This window comes from Homo sapiens, chromosome 4, assembly GCF_000001405.40.
Source record: "Homo sapiens chromosome 4, GRCh38.p14 Primary Assembly".
Taxonomy (NCBI): Eukaryota; Metazoa; Chordata; class Mammalia; order Primates; family Hominidae; genus Homo; species Homo sapiens.
In genome coordinates, this window is record NC_000004.12 from 142,312,076 (window position 1) to 142,339,507 (window position 27,432).

Consider the following 27,432-nt stretch of genomic DNA (forward strand, 5'->3'; position numbering starts at 1 on the left):
TGTCACAGGATACCAATTGAGATTTCTCTTTTAGTCCAGGAATTATAGCCGAGTTTTTTCAAAGATGAAGACGCAATGTAATAAATGTACCCCATTGTATGTTCAAAGAACCTTCAGTGTTTGAGGCAAGCAATCTCATTAACACGCCTTGATGAGGAGCCAGTATAGAGACGCTGGTCTATAAGTAGCCACAATATATCCAGTTAATATAAAGCTAGGGCTAGAAGAGAGGAGAGATCAGCATTTAGGAAGGTGTCCGATTTCAGAGATGTGGCTAATTTCTCTCTTAATCATCCCCCAGGAAAATATCTTTATCCTCAAAGCTGAAGCCAAGAGGGTCTGGTGCCAAAAATCACTTAGAAAGCCTAGAGGTGTCTAAACCACGTTTACCTCCACTGGGAACTGATTGTCTCTCCTTTGAGAATCATTGAATATGATCCAGTGCCTGAAGCTGCTGGCACTCATAGAAAGGATCAGCAGAGAGATGGCTGAGCCGAAACAGGAAACCACACAATGGAACAGCCTGCATTTCTTCCATGTGGGATGGCAAGTACATGTGCGTTTCATGTATTTGGACAGCACAGAAAGTGGCTGACCTGGAGTCATGTGCTTGAATGGTAGATCTCACAACAAGTGGTTGTGGAATGGGGGTGGGCAGTGGAGGAAGTGGGCCCAGAGCCAGGTCCCCCATGGTAGGCAATTATGCTATGGAGAGAACCTGACAAGGGCCTCAGAAATATCTATACCTGTGCCCATCAGAGAGCCAGCAAATCAGTATCTGCCACATAGAGGACTCTTAACAGGTAACCATTGCCTGAGAAGCATCAAGTCTAGCAGTAAGAAAACCTTGCCCTCACCAGGGGCAAGCCCAGAATAAACCTCTGTCTCCCTACTCCTTCCTCTTTGCTGCCACAACTGAGGAATCAAAAGAAGAAAGGGCAGGACATGTGTGGGACTCACATTAGGCTTCCTCCCCACTGCACGTTGCTAGAGTCACAGAAAGTCTAGCCCGTAGGGGGAAATGGTGGGAGGAGGTAGAAGAAAATAAAATCAGAAAAGAGACTCAAGGTTTAAAATAATTAAGATGGATTCCCAAGAACATGAGTGAGAGAAAAAAATTGGAGAAATCTACACGACTGGGCCAAAATATCATTAAAGCTTCAAGCAAGGGGGATTCAACACAAGAGCAGTGGTGGAGTGGGGTCGGGGCAGGCAGTGAACACAGGAGAAAAAAATTAAACCAGCTAAGCTTCCTTGAACCTTGATAAATAAATGGAACACCTTGATAGAATAATGTATTCCCCATATTAATACTTTAAAAAGTCTCACATTTTATGAAGCAGTGCCAGGGGTGTGATGAGAGTATGCATTTAGGATGGAGGGTCCAGTTGGAAGCAGGGCCCCAGGGTGGTACTAGTGGAAACATGTGAGCTGAGCCCTGAGCTGTGGAAGGGAGCCCTCTCCCCATGAAGTGCAGCAGCCCAGGCTGACAGAGGTCCATCTGCCTGTGTCTGTGGAGGTCTGAAGCTGGGGAGAACTTTCTGGATGCACTGGAGGAAGTAAATGAAGGTTTGTGTAGTCAGCACAGAGATTGGTAGTAGAAGTGAATGGCACAAGAGGTTGAAGGCAGAAAAACTGCAAGGACTCCCTCAAGTCAAAGCAGTTACTCAACTAGTCCCAAGGAAGAGATGAGAGGCTTGTGTTAGGCATGAGAAAGCAAGACATCGCCCTTTTCCCTCTGCTTTTTCACTAACAGCTGCAGAGATAACTGACATTCTGCTCAGTCAAGTCAAACTTTGGTGCATGTTTTTGGAGTCCTTCCTTGGCAGGTTTGAGAAAGTGGCTGTGTTCAATGAGAAAATTAATGGTACCTAGTACAGTGCCCTACACACTGACTGGAAGAAGGTTGTCAAGTACCTGTAGGATTTCAGGGTATTTCAAATAGCTCTTCCAGTTGGCTCAGCCCCAGGGCTTCTTAGACCTAATTAACTTCTGGTCTTTTTCCTCCTCTCTGAACACACAGATCGCAGGGATTCAGCCTGTGGGCTATATCTTTTAGGAGCTGCCACCGCCTACTCTAGCCTTGTCTAAGCAGAAAGCACCCAGTACCTTCTTGTTCTTCTCTAAATTCTGAATGCTAGAGAGGCAATAGTTCAGTGCAGCAAGAAAACCTCAGCAGGATTTTCCAACATTGGACTGAACAGTGGTGGCTGCCTCTCTTTTGACCTTCATTACAGTGTTTAAGTGGCAGGAAACAGAAAATACCACAATCCTAGGGCTGGTTCTCTTCCTCCTTCCTGAAGCGGTAGAGATCACATCTGTAATTTCCCTCACCTCCTGTTGGTCCAGAAATCTTGGCTCTGAAACACAGTTCAGCTACCTGCAGGGCAAAGTCTAGGCTCATCTCTAGCCAGCTGAACTAAATATGAATTCACTTGAGGATGATTTTCAGGAAACAACAGAAAAATGAATTCCATGCAATTCAGCAAATATGTGACAGTGCCTCCTTGAAGAGCCACACCCTGTTAATGTAATTCAATTTTATTTGTCAGTTACCAAGCAGGAGGCCAGAGAAAATCCAAATGATTAATTTAGAAGTGATGTGTGTGCCTTCTGGAAACGTTAGAAACACTTACCCCAACTTCTGGCGGGGGATCCTTATGTTCTGGTAGGACACTGGTTCGAACCTGTGGAGAAAAACATTTTCTGTAAGACTTTGGAGTAGAAACTAGTGCAGAAGCCTCGCACAGGTGCTGGGTTTCAATTTCCTTCATCTCGCGTCAATTCAGACTCTGTGGTTAATCATTAATGAATTCACCTGTGTGCAACACCTGCGGCAGTGCAATGAAGCTGTGCTGTTACAGTTCCTGAACTTCCTGGACAGAGCTGCCTGGAACCTCACTCCATCTATTTATCTAATACAGATATATCCAGGATTTAGGCAGATCTCTTTAATCTCCTAAAAAGGCAATCTTCATTCAACATTCAGGGACAGGAAAGAGCTGGTATAGAGAAAGCAATTCCATGCATGCACAATGAGTGTTCCCAATACAAAGAAATGATAAATGTTTGAAATTATGGATATGCTAATTACCATGATCTGATCACAATATATTACATGTATTGCAATGTCATTATGTACCTCCTAAGTATGTATTATGTGTCAATTTTTTTAATTAAAAAATGTTCTCTGAATGAGCGCCCACACTCATGCTTCTTATAGGATATCTTTCCCACTTGAGAATTCTGGGCCAAATTAACAGATATCATCATCTGAATTTACTGGAAAAGTAATTCTCAATTGTGGGAGGGGGAATAATGTCAAAGAACCGGTTATCTGGGCAAGCTTTCCAAAAAGGTGTTCTAGCTGAAACACTAACTCCTTATATAATCAAGAGACATGTATCTTCAACTGAGTGGTGATTTTCAATCCTGGCTGTACATTAGAATCACCTGGGGACCCTTTCAAACTCTTGGTGCGCCTCCATGCCCCCAGATATTCTGCTTCCAATGTACAGCTACTGACTCTACAGTTCTCTTAAGAAAACACATTTCAAATAAAAAAAGTCATGATTACCTTTCTTGCTTCAGAAAAAGATAGGGAACATAAGAAAAAACAAGAAACATATCTAGTATGTCTTAATTTGAAATAAAGATGAGTTAAACAAGTTAAATGAATATAAAGCAATATACAAGCACATCCTGTCTACTTGGAGAGAAAGGGGATTGGAGGGGAAGAATCAGGGAGCAACAGCCTAAAACACTTAAAGGATCAACATTTTAAGGGATCATTTTAACAAAATCCCTTTATGCACACTTCTCTTCAAATCCCTTAAGTCTTGACATACCTGACCATACCAGGTCAATCCTCCCAGATTGAAGGGATGCCTCTAATACCCCTAATAATATTAAAAGACTTGAATCAGCTCCTCATGGCCTGCTAATCTTGAACACAGTTGCCAAGTCCTTGAAAAAAGCAGCAAGCTATAATAAAATGTGCATTTGAACTTCTAGCTTAATGCTTTTTATTTCTTTATGACAGATCCAGCACTATCGCTTGCACAATTTGTCAGTCATTATAACTCAAAATTGTTCATCCAAGCACAAAATAAATGACATGAGAGATCCCAATGGAGTAAACACAATTTGTAGAACACACTCAACTCTTCAACTCAGGACTGCATGACACAGCACTTGCTGGCTAAGAGCATTAGAAGTTTGGTAGCTGCATTAACATTTTTTGGCCCAGATTACCATTCAGTCCATTATCTGAAAGTCATCAGCTGGCCTCAAAGGACAAGGAAACTATACGCAAATAGTGGTGGTGGACAATGTATTGTGTGTGCATGGATTATACATAGTATGTATAAATATGGTTTCTCCCTCTAACTCTGTATGTATATGTATAGTTTGTTATACTACATATATACATATTAGTATAAAGTGCTATACATATAATGAATACTCACAACATGCACCATATAATGCACATATGTGTACTATTATATACATTAATTTTTTAAAAAATTGACAGCCAAATAACATTTTCCAAAGATATACACTTAAATTTACAAATAAAGTGAAAAGAAAAAGTCAGAAATTGGTAAGATGGTCAATATACATAGAGTTGTATAAAGTATTTGATTTGGATCATAAATATTAATATAAAAGTATGTGTTTTAATATTGGACAAAGGTAGAAAATTTTTGACAATTAATATTCTTTATCCTATTAGTGATGTTATGGTACATAGGTTATAACAGTGATGCTTTTCTTATGTAAAATATACCCTCCATTGCAGTGAACACAAGCTAGGTAGCAAGCACTGGATGTGCCAGTGAATAATGCCCCAGTGTTTCTTGTTGAGACTTCAGAGGCTAGTGAGTGAGACACATGTGTGAATAATTTAGCACAATGCAATAAGTGCTATAATAGAAATATGGGCATTTTCCTGTGGGCATTTAGAATGAAGAATAACTATTTTATCCTGTGAGTTTCAGGAAAGGCTTCACAAAAGAGGTGGTCTGGGTTTTGAAGGATGAGTAGGAGTTTTAGGCAAGGAAGGATATGATAAAACAAGCAGAGTTTTATGTAACAAGCATCTGTCATAGAGTTCAGGGGGAAGAGTAAGAGTTCAGGGGGAAGGGTGCAGGATTTGAAATATGGCAGATTATGTGGACCATCAACAAACTACCAAAACCGCAGAGGAGCCCCTCGATCTTATCAGGCTCAGCCTAGATGAGCAAATTTACATGAAAATGGGAAATGACTGATGGCTTCAAGGCAGATTACATGCTTATGATCAACATTTAAATATGATGTTGGGAGATGTAGAAGAAACTGTGGCTACTATAGAAATTGATGAATAAACATACGAAGGGATATGTAAATCAATGAAACTGAGTATTCCAACGCGCATTATCCAGGGAGATGGTGTTGTCCTGGTTGTCCCTCCACTGAAAGTTGGCTGACACAAAGAATTTGTCCTGTATGGAAAATAGGAGACTTTGTACAATTGCCTCTTTAAATGTACAAAGCATTTGAAAGAGAAACCTGCATACATTTTGATATTAAGAAATAATTCTGAGGATTTTTCCACTCTGGAAATGAATTGATTTGCAGATAACTCATGACTTCTTGAGCTAAATGTCACTTTTTCCTCCAACTCTTCCAATAAATATAATCACCAAGATGCAAAAACCAAAACAAAAATGAACAAACAAACATAAACCAGAGCTCAGTTGTGTTCAGGAAATAGTAAGTATTCTGTTGATGCTATTGGGGCCCTGCAGGAAATGGCAGGAGTTACATATGTTTGGGAAATTGGGGCCATTTACTGTAGAGGGCTGTCTCCCATGTTATAGAAGTGGAGTTTTATTCCACTGAAGTATGCCAGGCAATAGGATATGAGGGAAGGCATTGAATAGTAGAGTGGCATGATCAGAGCCCTTGACACATCCCAAATCTTCCCGAGTCACCTTGGAAAAATTATTGAACCTCTTCATGCCAGTTGCCTTTCAGCCTTTGTGTCAGTTATTTAACATGGGGACAATAGACCCTACAGATTGTTGTATTTCATCCTTTTCAGCACTGCAAACAGTACGTGACCCAGAGAGAGAAGAACAAAGTGTGTGAGAAAGAAATGGGGGGAAGAGAGAAAATGAAGAGGAAAGAGGGGAGGAAAGAAAGAAGGAGTGGAAGGCAGAGGAAGGAAGGGAGGAGGACCATGAGACAGGGAGGAAGAGAGAGAAGGAGGAATATGTCACTAAAAAATACTAAGGCCTGAACTGATTTAGATGAGACCTCTGGGTGAGGAAGGGATGAAGCAAAGGCTGTCACTGTAGCATTTGGAATATTCTGGTTCACCGACAATGTCATGCCTCCTGAGAATTTCAAGCCTTCCTTAGGAATTCATTTTCCCTTTTTTGGTCTTATCAGCAGTTCTTCTCTCTATTTTTCTTCACTATTCCCCTCCCTGTCCCTTCCTGGAACATAAGAATGTCTTCCTGACTACAAATTTAAAACATTCTTACAGCTTCCTTTTGTCTAGACTTTTATGATGTCAAATAAAGCAAGGCAGACCAATTAATGGTAGTGATCATGTAGAAAACCATGTTTCCTATTCCATCTTGAATATTTTTTAAGGTTCATCTAAAATAAATTTCCTGCTCTATCAACCCCAGAAGTTCAAAATTAAACTAAATTTATCTTAAAAACAAAACCAGGTAGCATACAGTGGGTTATTCTCACTCTTTCATGGAATTCCTATAGACTACTTCACAAATCTTAATTGTTCCCAACAAGAGGCTGCTTCAGCTACCAATACAGCAGTGGAACATAGGACTTTAATGCTCATATTTATGCAAGACATACTCCTCAGACTAGTCAACCTTGTTACAATGAGCATGGGTATTGCTGTCCTGAGGGTGGGAGGACAGCGAGGACTGCTCCATTTTTTGCAGGTGAGTAGCTGAAAATCAGGCAATGGGGCTGCCTGAAATGCTAGGAGTCTGTTGGAGATCCAGACCCAGAGAAGGAAAAGGCCATGCTGTCCTGGGTCTGCACACTAGGCTGGCAGCACCTGGACCTCATGCAAGTGCATCTGCTCATTGGTAGGTGAGGGAGAAGCATCCTCCCTCTGGACAGTTTCAGCTGGCAGGCAGAGGGAAAGACATTGGTTATAGTGGAGGAACACCTCTCGGCAGGGATAGAGCCCAGATGCTCTTCCTAGAAAACTGTCACACCTGGAAATGTCTCTGATAATGAATGTGTCTCATTTCTTTAAAAGAAAAAAGAAAGTGTTACTCTAATTCTCTATGTACCTCAAATTAGAATATATCATCACATTTACTTGTTCTACTTGGAAGGAGACACATAAGTGTCTTAATAATCAAACATTAAAATTTGACTACAACAGAAATGTTTTGCCCTGCTTCACAGTATGAATTTTCTGGAAGGAAGCTACTCAACCAGGATTCCATATCCTAGGAACCCTTGATCCCAGGTGCAGCCATGTAGCTAGTTCTCACCAATGAAATGTACATGCAAATGATGTTTGCTGGATTTTGCAAAAGTGAATATAGTACACTCTCTCCACTGTCTCATTCTTCTTCCAATGGCCATACATAAAGGAGTCCAGTCTTTACGTGGTGGCTGAGCTGCACCGGAGTCCCAAAATTACCACATGAAAGAAAGCCATCTGCCAACCATCACTACTGTAGTAGACTGTTAAATAATTGTGTTAGCTTTCTACTGGTGTGTAACAAATTACCACAAACTTAGCTGCTTAAAACAACATCCATTTATTTGTTCACGGCTCTGTAGGTTAGAAGTCCAGGCATGATATGGCTGGATTCTCCACTCAAATCTCACGAGGCTGAAATCAAGGTGTCAGCTGGCTGTGTCCTCATTTGGAGGCTTCACTGGAGAAAAATGTGCTTCAAAGCTCCCTCAGGCTGTTCTCAGAATTTAGTTTCTTGCAACTCTTGAACTGTGGTCTTCATTTTCTTGATGGCTGTTCACAGGAGGATGCTCTAAACTCCTGAGGCCACACACCAGCAGCCCTTGCCATGCTCCCTCCTCCATTAAATTCAGCAACAGAGAATCTCCTTGGCATCAAATCTTCTCTAACTTCTGTTTTTAGGAAGAACTCACCCTCTTTTAAAGGATTACCTGATTAGGTCAGGCTCTCCTCAGATGATCTCTCTTTCAACTAGGCTATATAATATGACCTAATCATGACAGTAAATGCTATCCTATCACAGTATTGAGGATTATGCAGGGATGCTACACCATGGAGTGGTAATTTTGGGAACGATCTTAGAATTCCACCTACCACAATAATCAAGAAATAAACTTCCATCGTGCTAAGACACTAAAATTTGGATGTTTACATTTGTTTTGACAGAATAATTTAGATCCTCCGTTCTTTTTAATTTTAATAGGTTTTGGAAGAACATGTGGTGTTTGGTTACATGGATAATTTCTTTGGTGGTGATTTCCGAGATTTTGGTGCACCCATCACCTGAGCAGTGTACAGTGTGTCCAATGTGTAGCCTTTAATCCCTCACCCCACTCCCACCCTTCCCCAAGTCCCCAAAATCTACTTATCTTTCTTATGATTTTGTGTCCTCATAGCTTAGCTCCCATTTATAAGTGAGAAATACTATGTTTGGTTTTCCATTCCTGAGTTACTTCACTTAGAATAATGGTCTGCACCTCCATCCACGTTGCTGTGAATGCCATTATTTGATTTCTTTTTATGGCTGACCACATTTTCTTTATCTACTCATTGATTGATGGGCATTTGGGCTGGTTCTATATTTTTGCAATTATGAATTCTGCATTATAAACATGCATGTGCAAGTGTCTTTTTCATATGACTCCTTTTCCTCTGGGTAGATACCCAGTCGTGGGATTGCTGGATAAAATGGTAGATCTACTTTTAGTATGTTAAGGAATCTCTGCACTGTTTTCCATAGTGGTTGTACTAGTTTACATTCCCACCAGCAGTGTAAAAGTGTTCTCTTTTTACCACATCCACACCAACATCTATTATTTTTTTGATTTTTTAATTGTGGCCATTCCTGAAGGAGTAAGGTGACATCACATTGTAGTTTTGATTTGCATTTTCCTGATAATTAGTGATGTTGAGCACTTTTTCATAGGCTTGTTGGCCATTTATATTTCTTTTGAGAATTGTTTGTTTATGTCCTTAGCCCACTTTTTGATGGAATTATTTGCTTTTTTCTTGCTGACTTGAGTTCCTTGTAAATTCTAAATATTATCCCTTTGTCAGATGCATAGTTGGCAAAGATTTCCTCTTTTCTTTTGCTGTGAAGAAGCTCTTTAGTTTAATTAAATCCCATCTATTTCTCTCTGTTTTTGTTGCATTTGCTTTTGGGTTCTTGGTCATGAATTATTTGCCTAAGTCAATGTCGAGAAGGGTTTTTCTAATGTTATCTTCTAGAATTTTTATGATTTCAGGTCTTAGATTTAAGTCTTTGATCCATCTTGAGTCGATTTGTGTATGAGGTCAGAGATAAGGATTCAGTTTCATTCTTTTACATGTGACTTGCCAATTGTTCCGGCACCATTTGTTGAATAGAGTGTCCTTTCCCTACTTTATGTTTCCCTACTTTTGCCTGCTTTGTTGAAGATCAGTTGGCTGTAAGTATTTGACTTTATTTCTGGGTTCTCTATTCTGTTCCATTGTTCTATGTGCCTATTTTTATACCAGTACCATGCTGTTTTGGTGGTCATAGCCTTATAGTATAGTTTGAAGTTGGGTAATGTAATGCCTCCAGATTTGTTCTAATGAAATTTTGGATTTATTTAGTATATGGTTAAGAGAAAATAAAGCAACATAGCTAACATTAAATCTTCATTTACTATTTTAAGGCCAGCAAACATGTATCAAGCACATATTATGATTCAGCCACTATTATAAGCACTGGCAATCTCAGAGAGTAAGAGATTAAGAAGACAAGGTATATTTCGTTGATACGCAATAACAATGGCATGGTAAGAGTCAAACATCTAATAATAATTGCTAAGAATCTTCAGCTTTCTAAAATCTATCAGCTAGTCTTAGATAACGGTTTTCTAGTTGTTTAATTTTAATCTTGCATGGAGAAAATGATGCATGTACAAACCTAAATGATTTAGGTCACAGAATCTTAGAGATGCAAGGAATCTCTCAGTTAATCTAAAAAAAAAACTAGGCAATATGAAAATTATATCTGAAATATTCCTGGGAAGTACATTGAACATTTCTTCTTCAACATTTGGAATTTCTAGCTTACTATCTCACAAATCAGTATCATAACGGTAGTGTTACAAACTCACATGCCCACAGGCTCCAGGTAGGTAAAATTAATGAAAGGAGTGGCCTGGGTGTTTGAGACAATAGGAATTGGAGAGGACTCTGGCAAAATGGAATCACATTTCTAGTCTATAAGAAGTGACAACTACCCAGCTTCAACGGATTGAAAAAATTCTGAGAAATATTCCTTCAAATATTAACAATGGGTAAATATTAATTCTTTTGAAAGTGGGCTATTATTACCATATGCTGATTTTTACCAGAAACATGCTTTGTAACTAAGGTGAGTGGGCCAAAGCAAGCCCACTACTATTTTAGTAAAATTAGTTTTTAAAATGTGCTACCCTAAAACAGTTGTTATTAACCTTGACAACACAGTAGAATCGCCTGTAACATGTTTTTGGTTTTGTGTTTGTTTTAAATGCCAATTCACAGGTCACACCCCAGAATAATTAAATCAGAATGTCCAAGGGAAGGACCCAAGCATCAGTATTTTTAAGGTGAATACTCCACTTGATTCTAATGTGAAGCCAAAGTTAGAGTAAAGAACTATTGCTATAAAATAAATGAGATTACTTTTTGGTAAGAATGAGCCTCACAAACTAGCTCTAAGTCCTATGAAGAATCTTAAAACACATTGTGCCATGTTCAAGCCATCAAATATGGTTCCCTTTGAAAAGGACACACAAAAAAAGTTAACAGATCATCAGAGCTAGAAGGCCCTCAGACATTTTTAGGAAACGTTCCTTAAATTTTAGTGTGCATACTCATCCCCTGCTGGTCAACAGCTGGTCAGAAGGATGGTCTCCAGACCATTCTCTAGAAGTCTGTTAGAAATGCAGTATCTCAGGCTTACCACAGACACGTGCATCATAGTGTTCATTTTGGTAAGATTCCCAATTCATTTATGTGTACATTAATGTTTGAGAAGCTCTGGTTTGGAAGAATGCTCATGAGTGAAATGGGTCATAATGAGAACAGGTCTTCATTGCACCTAAACATGCCTGAAATAGAAATGAGGTTCATTATTACGGTTATGATGACTTTTTTTTTTTTTTTTTTTTGAGACGGAGTCTCACTCTGTCGCCCAGGCTGGAGTGCAGTGGCACGATCTTGGCTCACTGCAAGCTCTGCCTCTCGGTTTCACACCATTCTCTTGCCTCAGCCTCCCCAGTAGCTGGGACTACAGGCACCCGCCACCACGCCTGGCTAATTTTTTGTATTTTTAGTAGAGACGGGGTTTCACCATGTTAGCCAGGATGGTCTCAATCTCCTGACCTTGTGATCTGCCCGCCTTGGCCTCCCAAAGTGCAGGGATTACAGGCGTGAGCCACAGCGCCCAGCAGATCTTTTTTTTTTTTTTAATGTCAAGCCACTGTAAAAGCTCCAGATGATACCTTCCAGCAGACAGGTGCCCCCTTTTTATGTGAGGCAAATGGCAGGTAAGGTGAGGGGTAGGGAGTCACTCTTCAATCAAGTCAGAGATTGATCTGGGACAGAGCTGGGCTGGAATTGTTGGTACAATTCAGTGTCATTGGCTGAAATGTGTTTCTCCAATATTCATATATTGAAGCCCTTACTCCCAAGTAGCTCAGAACGTAATTATTTGAGATAGGGCCTTTACAGAAGTGATTAATTTAAAATGAGACCCATGGGTTAGGGTGCTAATCCAATGTAACTGGTGTCATTGTAAGAAAAAGAGGAGATACCAGAAAAGCTCTGCCCAGAGGAAAGACCATGCAAAGAGGCAGCAAGAGGGCCACTGTCTACAAGCTAAGGAGAGAGGCTTTGGAGAAGCCAACCTTGCCAGCACCTTGATCTTGGATTTGCAGACTCCAGACCTGTGAGAAAATAAATTTTTGTTGCTTAAGCTACCCAGTCTATGGTATTACTTATGCGTAGCCCTAGCCAACTAAGATTCTAAGTCTACCTGTGTTATCTGGTATGGCCCTCTGTGTTTTCAACCAACAGCCTGACTGGCCTTTGCTTCTCAGCCCTGAAAAAGTGGATATTGTTAAGACATTCCACTATACTTCTTTAACATTATACCTGACACAGCCTCAGAATCTGACAAAAGTCTTTAGAGGGAGACCAGCCATGAGTTTGAATCTCTTTTGGACTCCAAAACTGTCATTCCAACTATGCATGAAAACCCAAATCTCTGCTGAGTGTTATGCCTGCCAGTTGCCACCTTCTGTTTGGCAAAACCTTGATATTCAGACTTCTAGCCACAGGGAGACTCTGTGAATACCTCCAGGTGAAAAACGGCTTTTTAGTTTCTCAGTGTCAACTCAGCACTCCCCCTAGGGCATCTCTTGCCTGTTGTCAGTTTCTCTCTCTAGTTTCCCAAGCACTGTGAAACTATGGGGACTTTCACTTTGCTTTTTGGAAGCCTTTGACCTGGTTCTCCAGCCTTCTGCAAAGTGTCAGAGTTCACCAAGTCTCTTCTGAGAAAAAAATGGCCACTTACTTGAGGCCCCTGAAGTCTCCATTTCTCACTTCATCCAATACAACTGCTGAAAGCTTTTTTGATTTCTCTTTCTCCAAGCAGCAGCTCTCTGTCTAGGCAAAGGCCTACTCCTCAGTCCACTCTCAGAGTCAGCAAATACCCCTAGACAAAAATCATGGCTCCCGATAGCTCAGCGTTGAAAGGTTCTCCTTGCTCTGGAAATTTGGTCTCTCTAGTTATTTTTGCTCTGATAGCTTAACGGTGCTTTCAAACATGTGATTTTTGCAATCAGCCTAGCTTCTTTTCTAGGTGTTGCCAGAAGGAGCAGTGCTTGTCCCACCTACCACATCCTACCCAAACCGAACTCCTTAATATCCAGAAAAGTTATTGGTAAGCTAAGAAATCTTCCAAACATGCGGTCAAGGGATGAAAAATGATATTCAACAGACTATGGTTATATGTAACTGGAGAGGAAAAAATGCCATTTAAATATTGGTCTGTCTGTTGAGTTACGTTTTTGACAAACTGGTTACAAATGCATAATGACAGGTGGTTCCTTTGGTAAGACTAGAGCTTACTCTGCAGCCTAAACACAATCCCAATTAACCAACTTGGATAAACAATAATTGTTGAGTGGGATATGCTATCTTGGGTTTTACTCACTAAATGCGATCATCTTTCAAATGTCAAAGCACACTCTACCAAATTATGTATACAAGTTCATTCTATAGGCTTCCATGCCAAAAAGAAATACTAGTTAAGACAAATAAAAGCACTCTTTTAGTTTGGATGCTCTAACCTTAGATGTTTTCCATTTCTCTAAAGCAGTGATGTTCACACCACAGCTCCTAGTCACATGGGTCTCTTTATGTTTAATTGGTGGCGCTTTAAAACTTCTAATTTCTCTATATGAATGCGCCATTATACTAAATTCTACCAGTCATACAGGACTCATGTAGTTCTTTAGGTTAATAGTGACTGCAAATGTGGCTCCAGAGTCATATAATTCTGAGTATCCCTGCCATTACCCACATTTTATTCCACTTCCCTTTCCGACTATTATAGAGATCTATTACAAGCAGGTGAAAGAATACTGAATGGCAACAATATCTGTAGACATCACCTTCCTTTATCAGAGAATCACTGAAAGATACAGGATCTGCTGAAAATAAGAGATGCCAGATAAGAGGTTTTGTTTTCATGGAAGTCAAAGAGGTCTCCTTATAGCTTTTCTAAAACATAAGAGATTCTGTCCTCCATAGTACTTATTTCTGGTTCTTCCTGAAATGAACAGTAGGCTGGGACACTAGCATTGTACAGACCCCGTCGGTTTTCTTGCACTATGTGTTACGAGCCAAGTCCGGTCCTGTGGACTTAACTAAAGCAAGAAGGAGAAACCTCTAAAAAGCTGTACAAAGTAGGACAGACAACAGTTTTCCTTTAAGTGGTAAGGGATGTTTACATATTTTACAAATAGAAATAAAGGAGCTCTTCGCACTGGAAAGCCACAATCTAAAAATGTGTTTTATAGGCACTAAAGATAATAGCTGATAACTTGCTAAACAACTGTTCTTTATAAGCTGAGAACTCCATTCCTGCTGACTCCCAAAGCCTCACATGAGGATATTATTAACATATGAAACACACGTAGAGCTCAATTCAAAGCTCATGTATTCTACTAACAGTTGTTATCAGGTCAAACTTCCACCACTGCCTCCATCCATTTCCTCTCTTTCTCTACCACTTCAATAAGCAAAAATAATTGTACCATCATTATAAAAAGTGGAGAATCATTATGCTCGATCCATTATCCTCAGCATTAGACCCGGATGGTGATAGGCTACCCTAGAAACTTTCTGCCCTAGAAATACTGTAAAACTTATAGTTGATATATAAGAATAATGGAAGCAAAGAAATAATAACTCTGTTTAACCTTTGGGTTAATCATTTCAGGGCATGTCTTTTTTTACTTGTATTATTTCATTGTAGTTCTGTGTTGCATTATTATTGCTTTGCCCATTTTACAGATGAGAAAACTGGGTTTCAGGAACCTGGGATAATTTGCCCAGGGCCACTTCATTAGCAAATTGCAGACATTAAACAGTCTCCTTCCAAAATCTATGCCCCTTCCATGGCTGTGTGCCTCTTCAGAGCCCAGACTGATGGTGACTTTGTCTTCCCTAGGGCTGCTTAATTAGAGTTTTAAAAAGCAAATATCTATTAGCCTCAGGGAATAGAAACAGACACAATTTATCACAGTACCAGACTCAAAAACACCATCGTTAGGTATTAACAGCCCCCAATTAAGACTATAGTCATGAGTTAATGAACGAGCCATTAGACAGAAAACAGCAATATGAACAAAAGCACACGTCTATTAATCTGTTGCTCACTGAAAGTCATTAGTCCCAACAATATAAGGCTAAATAATTTCTAAGTAGCTTTAAAACAAAACTATCGTGATACGGCTTATGTATTCCAGATCATTGACAACCTGGACTTTGATAACTGTAGTCAAAAGAAGATCACCAAACCCCCCATACAAATTAATTGATTTACATAATCAGCCTACAAAGTATGTATTTACATGAATCGAAAAAAAAAAAAGTATATGGGCATGGAGTGGAGGGGCTTTCAAGGTAGCTCTCCAACGAAGAGTCCTGTTTGTGTCCAGGCAAAACTGGGATAACTGCAGTAGATCTATTCTACTGTCACAATAGTTTCTTTCTCTATAGAATTCTACCAAAGCATCTAATAGTTTAATCAATGGTTCTCAACATGGGCTGCACTTTAGAATCACCTGAAGAAGTTTTAAAAACTGCTGATTCCAGGGCCCTACTTGTCTACACTCCTTTAACTGGGCCATTCTAATCACTCAACATTCTCTTTCACCGCTCTACCTAATTCTCAAAACAACCCTGTGAGAAAACTGAGGCTCAACCTTTAACTTTCAACCTGTAAAATAAATAATAATACTCAAAGAGAAGTTAACTTTCTTCCCAGGTTATGTGGCTAGTAAGTGGAGGAGGGAATATTTCAACTTGAATCTGCTGTATTCCAAAACCAATGCATTTAACCCTCTCCTATGTTGCCTAAACTCAGGGCTGAAGTCACAGCAAAAGTCTGCTACACAAAGACTGCGGAGGGAAGTTAAAGCAAAGATCCCAGTTTTCCTGAAACAGAGGGAATTGTGATAGTGGCATTCTAAACAGGCACTAGAACCACGCTTTTCTCTAAGAAACACTGTTTTGCAGTGTCTGTGGCCCACTGCATGGCTAACTCAGTGTTGTTTTAAAAGAGCAAAGGTATTAAATTAAATGTCATGAACTCTTCTGACGAAGAAAATAAGGAAATGTACAGCGTTTCAACAGAAAAAAAAGTATTTCAAGCTTCAAAAGATTGACAAAATTAAGAACAAAATTTCATTATGTTGAGAGCTTCTTTACTACAATAAACTAACTACATACTGAAACCTAAGTCCTTGTGGATGGCAGCTGAGAGATCGATTTCCTACATTTCAAACCATAAGTCAGCCATTATTCTCAAGTGTGATCCAATCAGATCTGCAAGGTCAAAACTATATTCACAATAATATTCAAATGGTATTTTCCTTTTTTGCTCTAATTCCTTCACCAGTGTACAGTGGAGTTTTCCATATGCTAAAAGACACGAGATATCACAAAAGATTGAATACAGAGAAGCAGACATGACAATGCAGGTCTCTCCTGTTGATCAGACATTAAGGAGATTTACAAAAATATAAAACAGTGTCACTGTCTCAGTATATTTTTTTTGGTTTTCCAAAACAAAATTTTCAAAAGCATGTGTTATTTAACATATAATGAGTTTATTATTTGCCATTTTAAATGAATTCATAAATATTTTTAAAATTTTGGAGTTTTTCTTCTGTGGAAAATATTCATAGTTAATATAACTGTATAAACATATGCTCTTTGGGATTCTTGATAATTTTTAAGAATGTAAAAGGGTCCTAAAACCAAAAGTTTGAGAAACACTGCCATGGTGGGTCTCAGCATTACATTAATCTTACCCTTTTTAAGACAGCTTCTTTCCAGAGTCTCTTTCAGAGGTGGATGTGATGATTACCACAGACACCCAATAATCCAGCCAGCCTGAACCACTAAGACTCCCTGAACTTTCCTTGCTCTCACCTCCCTCCATGCCTTTGCATGCGCTGATCTGTCCTTTTAAGTACAAGAGATATGGTCATGAACAAGGAATAATCACTTTATGAACTACATTCTAGCATCAGGAAGACATGGACAATATCAAAATGTGTAAAGAAAGTAAAATATTAAAATACGGTAATAAAATACAGTGTAACGAGGTGGGAGTGCTTTACCTACAGCTGTCCCTGAGGTGGGTTTCCCTGAGCAGGTAACTTTGATTCAGACCTGCATAACGCAGAGGAGCCAGCTCAGAGAAACTCAGGGAGAATAGTATTTTAGGCCAATGCAACATCAAGTGCAAAGGCACTGAGGCCAAAGTGGCTGAAAAACCAAAGAGAAAAAAGGGGAAAGAAGTGAAAGTTGGGTGGAAGAAAGGCAGGGCTCTGGGAACATTGGGTTTATGTTACAATTACAATGGGAAACTCTAGCTGGGTTTTAAGCCAAAAAGTGATGTGATATTTGTCATGCATTAAAAATATTACTCTGATGTGTGGAGAACGGACTGCAGGAGGTCAAGTGTGGAAGGATAAGAAATTAGGAGCCATTTACAAATTAGAGCTTATTTATCATCATTCCTCTACTTTTTCCTAGAGTCAGGGTCAAGCTAGATATGCAGGTTTTTAGAGGAATAATTACTGGGTAGCCTTGAGTTGTTTCCAAATATTTATAGAAAGCAGTTTAATACTGACAGAGAATTAAAGTGAGTATATAAATTTCCTCTTAATATAATTACATTCATCTATGAGGTTAATAATGCTCAACTAGTCACAAGGACACTTGTGGATTAATAATTATTTAAATAAATTTAGTGCTAAATAATAAATATTCCACTATTTACACTTTTTTTTACACTGTAAATATTAAAGGGCAACACAGCCTATGAAGTAAAAAGCATTCAGAAAAAGCATTCAGAAAAAGCATTCTAACTTAAAACATGAGGAAACTCAATTCTCTGGAAAAAATTTATAAACAAACTGAGTGATAATAACAGAATTGTAATTACTAATGAAAGCTCTATGAATAAAATTGTTTATGGATGGCTTCAGCTCTTCTGGCAGGCACTTGTGGCAGCAGTATATAGAAAATATCTTCATTGTTACTTATCTGCATTTGAATCATATCAGCAAGCAATGATTCAAAGACCCATGAAGAGCAAATAATGATGCATGTGTGGAAGAATACAAAATAGAAGAGCCCCTTTAATTTTAAAACAAACCCCTTCTTTCTAGCACCAAGAGGCCTATTAACAGGAATTTTGAGAAGTATCTTTCTATCTGGGTATAATTTTGGATATCATTGGGCCTGGATTAAAATATCTTGAAAATCCATCTCTGGGTTTTTTAAGTTAAAGTTGTGAAACATTCTTCATCTGCACTGGAGCAAGAGTGGTAACTGCCTGTGAGATGGGTCTTTTACTTTCTTATCAGTTTTTCTGTTTTACAAAGTAAACTGCCTGTCAGAACCAGGGATGCATACACACACGCATATGTGCACACACGCACACACATACACGCGCACGCACACACACACATATTCAGTGAAGCAATTCAATTCCATTAAATGATAACTCTTCAACAAATGTCAAAATGTTCCTGTTCCCTTAAGCCATTCAAAAGATTTTAAAATACATCACCTGGGATGTTTAAGGACTTTAGTGTCTCAGGGAAACTACATTTGAAACCTTGAATTTTAACATTTAAAATTCTTAACAGTTGGAATGTATTTGTCATTTATAATGTATGTTTTGTGCGTAAAGTGGGTTTACACTCAGTATTCTTGCTGCCTCGGGGCTTAAAGAAGTGAACTAAATTGGAGCTAATGGGTTCAGGCATTTTAGAGGAAACTACTTAAATCTAAGTGCACTAAGCAATGTCCATTCACAGGAACAAGAGAAGCAAGCAGTATTTTCATAAATTTGTCCTATCAAAAGTTGTACTTTCATTTTTTTCACTTCTTAAAGTGAATTTTTCTTTGATGCTGTCACAAATAAACTTAAAAACATTTTCAGATAATGTTGCTCTTTATTTGCACAGACCAAATAAAACCACAGGCAAGGAAATTCAAGGGATTTAATCTAAGTGGGATGGGTATTTTGTCTTTAAGAAGAGTGGTGTGCAGATAACTAACAATTGGCTTTTAAAGGACAAGGATGGAGGAAGCTACCATTCATAGTGCAAGCAATTTCTGTGGCGTAAACACTCCCACCTGGCCCATTTCCAGCTACTAGCTTGAGATCGCTGACCACAGAATTGGAAAGGGACATGTAGGATCAGCTCTCCAGGGACAGTAGAGCAGGCCCCAGCATACCACTGTGGCATCACTTTGGAGAAGTCAACTGCATGGAAGTGTTTGGGACCCAGATCTACTGGGATCCTCGTGTACTGTGAACCTGGCTGCAACTGGCATAGGGATCAGGTCCAGAAACATCTTCGTGAAATACAAGTATATTGCAATCAATAGTATGAAAATACAATCATCCCCCCTCTCACATGCCAGATGATATGATAAAACCGTGTCTCTGAAATCAATGATTTTAATTAGGCTTCAGCTTAATAGAATTTACGTATTTGTTTGAGAGGTAACAAGCACTATCTATTCGATCAGATTCCCAGTAATTGCTAAGGAATTATTTTAAAACCAATGGAAACTTTGGCCATGGGAAAGATGCACGCCAAGAATCTGGTTTACCAGAATCAGTCTCATGACATATTTGTGCTCCAGGGTCAGTTTTAAGTGCCCTGGCAGCTAGTGCTGAATGCTTCAAAATTTTCTCTATCTTTGGAGCTTCTAATTGTGATCCTTACAGGCCACAGATCATATTATGAGGCAATGTTTAGAAAAGTACTCTTACAGAATGTACCACAAAGCTGGGGGGGTGGGGGGTGGAGGGGGAAAACCTAAGGTTGTCAGTGCATCCCCTGACCCATAAATAGGCTCATAACCAGGGTTTCTGTGTTGAAGTCTAAACTTGGAAAATCATCCATTAAGGAATTTTAAAAATGTGCTCCAATTAAGCCAATAGAGGTTTCCTTAAGTGTATTTTCCATACAGACAATGTAGCCTTCTTAAGAAAAGCTAATTTTTAGTACAGCTGTCTTGCATAATTTTTATTTCATAGCTTATTCCAAACCAAGCTATTTAACATGACAATCTGTGCTTATATTATACCATGTTTCAGGGACCTCAGATGATTTTATTTTTTAAAAAAGAAAAAATATATGACACTATAATGAGACCCTTTATTCTTGGCTTTATTTTCCGTTTAAAATAAAACCAAAGGTGGAGGTAACTACAGCTAGACATTTAGTACAGATTTTGTAATAATAATTAAGTTAGTAGCCTTCATGGGCATATCAATATTCATGAAAACAGCAATGGGATAGAAAAGCATTAAAGGCTTTTATAAAGCAAGAGAGAAATAGTTCTCAATGTCCTTGAGAAATGAGTACACTTATTAAAGGGGGAAAAAAAAGCATATATAGTTAAAAAAAAAGTTGCTTAAAAAAGGAAAAGGGGTGTTTGAGCTAGATAAACCTTTAAAAGTAATTTAATTTAACCATTTTCATGTAAAGTTAAGAAAACTGAGGCTATTGGTGGTTAAATGACTGGTCCCAAGTCTCACAATTAGATCATAACAGATCTGTGCCTAGACAATGCTTTCTTGTTTAAAACCTTCTAAAATGGGGCCCTGCGCAGTGGCTCACGCCTGTAATCCCAGCACTTTGGGAGGCCAAGAAGGGCTGATCACGAGGTCAGGAGATCGAGACCAACCTGGCTAACAAGGCGAAATCCCGTCTCTACTAAAAATTAAAAAAAAAAAAAAAAGGCCAGGCGTGGTGGCGGGTGCCTATAGTCCCAGCTACGTGGGAGGCTGAGGCAGGAGAATGGCGTGAACCCAGGAGGCGGAGCTTGTAGTAAGCCGAGATCGCGCCACTGCACTCCAGCCTGGGCGACAGAGCAAGACTCCGTCTCAAAAAAAAAAAAAAAAACAAAAAAAAAACCTTCTAAAACCGCAGACATGCAATTGCAATGAAAATATATAAAACAGAGACAGATTACATGGAAGAGCCAATCTAGGACCCACTCCGATCACAGGTGCTGAGCAGGGGCCACGTGAGTCTTGTCTGGTTTAATTAGTTGGGGTCATATGCTTTGTTCTCTCTTTTCCTGATCCTTAAAACGAGATTGTTGTATCAGCAGCACTGGAATCATTTGGGAGCTTGTTAGTAATGCAGACTCTTAAGTCCTGCCCCAGACCACTGGATTAGAATTCAGAATTAGAATCCTCATTTCATAAAATCCTTAGGTGATCCCTAAGTACATTAAAGTCAGAGAAGCCTGAAACAATTGATGCATTCGTTGAAAACGAAGGAATGTTTTCTAAAAGACCAAATCTTTCCTTTCTCGCTTTTATCTCTCATATTCTGTTTTGCAGAAATTAAAAAGGAAAAATAATAGTATATTTTGTTACAATATATTACCTATATGTTATGATGTTATAGCAAAATAGGGTTCTCATATATACAAGGAAAGAAAGACTTGTAGATAAATATCATATAATTCAACAGTGTAAGTTAACTGGATGGTCTTGTCTTTATTACAGGTACTGAATTCAACTATTTTTTATTTTTGTTTTTTTTGTATTGGACTACATTAACTCAGTTGGTCCAATGAGTTCATTTTTTTTCCAGCTTTATTGAGGTATAATTGACAATAAAAATTAAATACAGTTACTGTGCACAACTTGAGGTTTTGATGTATGTATACACTGTGCAATGATTACCACGAACCAGCTATTTAACCTGTCCATCACCTTAGTTACCTTTTTGTGTGTGCGATGAGAGCATTCAAGATCTACTCTCCTAATAACATTTAATTATACAATATAGTATTGTTAGCTATTTTCACTATGCTGCACATTTGATCCCCAGAACTTATTTATAACTGAAAGTCTGTACCCTTTGATCATCATCTTCCCATTTCCTCCTCCCCTCAGCCCCTGCCAAATACCATTCTAATTCTGTTCTGTTTCTATGAGTTTGACTTTTTTAGATTCCGCATGTGAGAACATAAAGTATTTGTCTTTCTCTGTCTGACTTAGCATAATGCCCTCAAGGTTCATCCATTTTGTTGCAAATGACAGAATTTCTTACTTTTCTTTGCCTGAATAATATTTCACCATATATATGTATACACGCACATATACACACATACATATACTTGTATGATACACACAAATACATATACTTGTATGTATGTGTACATATGTGTATATAGCTCTCTCACAATTTCCTTATTAATTCATCCATCAGAGGATACTCGGATTGTTTCCCTGTCTTGGGTTTTGGGTATTGTGAATAATGCTGCAATGAACATGGGCATGAAGAGATCTCCTTGAGATACTGACTTTGTTCCCTTTGGATATATACCCAGAAGTGGAATTGCTGGGTCATATGGTAGTTCTATTTTTAAATTTTTGAGGAACCCCCATACTGTTTTCCATATTGGCTGGCCAATTTATATTCCCAGTAAGAGTACACAGGGTTCCCTATTCTCCACACCCTTGCCAACACTTGTTATCTCATGTCTTTTTGATAATAGCCAATTTAACAGGTGTGAGGTAATATCTCATTGTGGATTTAATTTGCATTTCCCTGTTGTCAGTGAAGCTAGGCAATTTTTTCTATACCTTTGGCCATTTCTATGTCTTCTTTGGATAAATGTCTGTTCGGGTCCTTTGCCCTTTCTTGAACTGAATTATTTGTTGTTGTTGTTTTTTATTTTTTATTGTTTTGCTATTGAGTTGTTCTTTACATATTTTATATATTAGCCACTTATCAGATACATGGTTTGCAAATATTTTTCCAGTTCTATAGGTTGCCTTTTCATGTGTTGATGGTGAGCTACTTTTAAATAGTGAAAGGATAAATCTATTAGGGAGCATCTACATCTGGGGCAAACACTCCCCTGAAAGCCAGCTAGAATTCTGGCCTTCTAAGACCTCCTAAGAATAAAGCCTATAACTCAGCAGGCTGCTTAATGCTCTGTCTGCTACTTCCTGGGAAAAATGAAAAAAAAAAAAAAAAAAAAAAAAGTCTGAGTATCCACAAATTCCCAAAGCAGCTGGAGGAGTTATAAAAAGAAAGGAATTTCACCATTTCCATGAGAGCTTCTTCACTTCTCCCATTTTCTTTATTAATAGTGACTCAGATTAAAACTTGCAATAACAACAACAACAACAAAAATCTAGTTAACTGATTCCTAATATTTACTTGGGGTGGAGGATGCTTTTCTTCTCTAACGTCAGTTCTGGTCCTGTTATTTTTCTAGTCCAAAATACCTTGGGTTTACTTTTCATTATACTCCCTCAATTATCTTATCTTTTAGAATTTAGCCATTAATACCAGCATTTATTTTACTCCTCATAACCCCAAATCTCCCATGTATACCTTAAGGATGTCTTTGCTTCCTAAGTACCAGAGGGGAAGAAATACTGGTGCAAGTCTAATGGATATTTACATATATTCACATTTCCTGTTAAATTACTTACAGCTAGATTCTCAAATAATAAAATGCAATCTGAAATTTAAAAACAGTGACACTAAGCACCCTTAGGAGATAGGCAGAGTCAATCATCAAAGGGCAGAACATAGAGGAAAGTCAGTTAACTTTTAGTCAGTTGACTTTTAAAAATGGTTGATTTATTTTTATCAGAAAGAAACCTGCATACTCACATAGGTAGAGTTTAATGAATAAACACAAAGTAACACCAATGTGTAACCACTGATAGTGGCAGGAGACAGACAAATTCCTCGCCAGACAAGGGCAGGTCACCAGTGAAACCCAAACTTAAGCAAAAAGACAGCCTGAAGCCTGAAAACCAGGCTGAGGTTCTGGTACAGTCCACGACCTAGTGAGAACTTCCGTGGTGTCTCTTAGACAATCAAATGGTGCTTTTTCCAGGCCTGCCCATGGACCAATCAGCATGCATTCCTCCATTCTGATCCCATAAAAACCCCAGACTCAGCTACCCATTGGACTATCTGCTTTTGGGCTCCCTCTCACACAGAGGGCTACCCACTCTCGGGTTCCCTCCCCACTGACAGCTTTTCTTCTGTTGCTTAATAAAATTCTTCTCTGCCTTGCTCACTCTCTGTTGTCCATGTACCTCATTCCTCTTGGATATGAGACAAGAGCCTGGAACCTGCCACATGGCAGGAACAAAAGGAGCTGTAATACTGTAACCCTCCCTCCCACTTGAGGGGTAGTGGGGGAGAAAATACCGCTGGGGGCCACACACCTCTGTTCACTGTGCTGCAGGCAGAGGGAGCAAAAAGAGCAGTCACACTTCTGGAGGCCCAGACCTTAGGACTCCTTGAGCCAGAGCTGTAACATGCCCCTATCCGCCAAGCCACGGGTGGCGGGACCAAACACGTTTCTGTTCACTGCCCTGCAGGAGGCAGGAACAAACGTGAGCTGTAACATGAACAAGCTGTAATATGCCCCCACTATTTGCCACACCAGGGGTTGGGGGAAGAAGAGAGAGAAATAACACCCCCTGGGGCTTCGCAGTTGCTGGAATCTCTTGAGTTTTGGGCATGGCTGTGATTCCCCTCCTCGTCCAGATGCTGGTGCCCAAGGCGGAAGCCAATTGTAGCACGTTGGGCCCAGTCACGGGCTGCAGCAGGCCAAGTGGGCAGAGAAAGCCCAGCAGTGAGCACAGAGCTGAACAAGGCCCCAGGCAGAGGCGCCACTGGCCAGCCACAGAGATTTCTGGTTGGCCAAGTGGCACTGAAAGGATCCTGTGTCAACATTTCCTTTAGAAAAAAATGCAACTTGATTGGCAAACTAGAAAACCTCTTTTCTGAGACTTTCTCCTAATACAACCCCAGTATTCTCCACTAGAGACAATCATTGTCCTTTTGTAATAATTTTTCTTTTCCTTAGAGTATTACCACCAAATAATGAACCACTAAACACAACAGTGTGGGTTTTCTTTTTCTCTACATTTCAACTTTATGTAAAATACATAAATACTATATATATTCCTTTGCCTTTCTTTGTTAACTCAATTTCTTTTAGATTTATCCATGTTGTTGCATACAGCTAAAGTACATTTATTTTCATTGTCAGATAGTAATTCATTGCCTGACTGTACTACAATTTATCCCTATTCCTCTTGATGGTTATTTAGGTTATTGTCATTTATTAGCTGCAGTGAACTGCTGCTATGAAATTCTTGCATGTGTATCTGGAGACCATGTGTAAATCACTTTCTAGGGTACAGACCCTAGAGAATAATTGCTGCATCTTTAGAGATTACATCTATAACTGGGCTGGAATGCAAAACTGTTTTTCAAAATGGTTATATTATTTACCCTTGAACCATAAGAAAGTTTTACATCCTTATCTATACTTGAAATTGTTAGATGTTGAGTTTTTACCAACCATTGATATGTAATTATATATCACTGTATTATTAATTAATAATTATCTGATTATTAATGAGGTCGATTCCCAAATGTTTACTGGCCATTTGATTTTTCTCTTTGGCAAAGTGCTGGTTCAAATGTTCTGTTCTTTTTTTTTCCTATAGTTATTTATCTCATCTTAATTTGTAGGCATCCTTTATTCATTATATATATATTATATATATTATTTTATGTATATTATATATAATATATATTTTATATATATTTATATATATTATATATTTTATATATATTTTATATATATATTTATATAGTTTATGTATATAATGAATCTTAGTTCTTTGCAATTTATATGTGTTGCATATTTCTTCCTCTCTCTACAACTTGTCTCTTTTTATGGTGTCTTTTTCACGTCTCTTAGACATTCATATTTGAAAGCAGTATGACAAAGTGAGGGGAAAAAGGAGTATATAATTGTATATCTTTAAGAGACTACTTCTTGAAAATGTACCTAATATCATTATACCAATTTTGCACTCTAGAAGTGATTTGTCAGCACTTACATATCTGATTTCAACTATATCAATCCAGAATTGCCTGTATTGCTTTGCAAATGCTTTTAATACTCTTGGTATGTGTCTGAAACTTTCCCTTACACAGAACCCCTATACCTAGTACTGATGTATATGTAACAAATTGACTTTAAAAAATTATGTGATTAAGTGCCATATGACAGACTAGCCTATCCAAGTGTACTTGGCAACTTTATTTTATTTTATTTTTCAGATGGAGTCTTGCTCTGTGGCCCAGGCTGGAGTTCAGTGGTGCCATCTAGGCTCACTGCAAGCTCCGCCTCGTGGGTTCACACCATTCTCCTGCCTCAGCCTCCCGAGTGGCTGGGACTACAGGCGCCCGCCACCACACTTAGCTAATTTTTTTTTGTATTTTTAGTAGAGATGGGGTTTCACCTTTTTAGCTAGGATGGTCTCGATCTCCTGACCTCGTGATCTGCCCGCCTCGGCCTCCCAAAGTGCTGGGATTACAGGCGTGAGCCACCAGGCAACTTTTAAAAACAATAATATTGCTGCTATATGGAAATCTGCTCATCTACCTTGACATAAGCCCAACTAATGGGTGAGTTGGCTTTTGTTTTTCCTGCCTTTCAGATTCAATAAAGCAAGGTTCTCAAAGCCTAAACTCCTCATGTGTACTAAATATGCTATCTATATATTTTTATCTCTTATGATTATCACAAGCCATTAAAGACTTTCATTTCCTGGTTCTAATTTTCACATATTGGAATTGGTGCCAAATGAGCCAAGCGCTCTTCTACTTGTTCCTTCAGATCCCACACTCCACCCTTTTCCATCTTGCCTTCTGCCACTGGAGCACGGGCTCTGTGAACTACCTCAACAGGCTTCCTTGTCCTCTGACTTTCAGTTGAGTTTCCACAGTGTAGGTCCCAGCAGGAGAACAGAGGGTCCAGGAGGGGAGAACGGAGGGTCCAGGAGGGGAGAAGGAGGTCGGAACATACCTGCCCTTTGCTGTCTTCCTGCTGGGTAGCTTCTGACTAGTTGTGTCAAGAACCTGTGTCTCTTGACCAAGCTGGCCTTCTCTACTCAGTTCTCTCAGTTTTCTGGAAACTCTTCCCTCCCTTTCCTTTTAGACCTAGGAGTGATAATACCTCTACCAATATTAAACCAGGTTACTGCACTATTCTTTGTGGTTCTACTTTGCAAACAGTCCCTTTGTAAATAAACCCTCCTGGAATTATCCTAATTTGCAAGTGCCGTCTGTTTGCTACTGGGACTCTGACTGATACAGACTTAATAGCCATGCTTGTGTGCAAAAGGAGAAGCAAAACAAAGCATTAAGGTAGATTATTGTAAGTGCTGCTTTCCTAGGCTCATATACAAAGCACATAGAAGCACAAGTACTCTTTTTCTATAGAGCTCAGAGAATATAATCAGGAAGTATAAAAATTATGTTGGGCCCTGGAAATATGAAAAGTAATAAAGAACACAATTATTCTTCCCT

General features: G+C 39.0%; 1 protein-coding gene and 1 pseudogene across 57 annotated transcripts in view; one reads left to right on the forward strand and one right to left on the reverse strand.

Annotated features, from left to right (window-relative positions):
- The window catches only part of INPP4B (inositol polyphosphate-4-phosphatase type II B), an 823,376-nt gene that overhangs the window by 288,916 nt on the left and 507,028 nt on the right, over positions 1 to 27,432 (reverse strand). For all 57 annotated transcript variants that reach the window (NR_169617.1, NR_169615.1, NR_169599.1 and 54 more), the window contains one exon: positions 2,637 to 2,687. Coding sequence is in view for 33 of the 57 variants with exons in the window: in NM_003866.3 (NP_003857.2) it covers positions 2,637 to 2,687 (51 nt within the window). In the remaining 24 variants the exon portion in view is untranslated. The remainder of the gene's footprint in view (positions 1 to 2,636; positions 2,688 to 27,432) is intronic.
- Positions 5,139 to 5,699, forward strand: LSM3P4 (LSM3 homolog, U6 small nuclear RNA and mRNA degradation associated pseudogene 4; annotated as a pseudogene).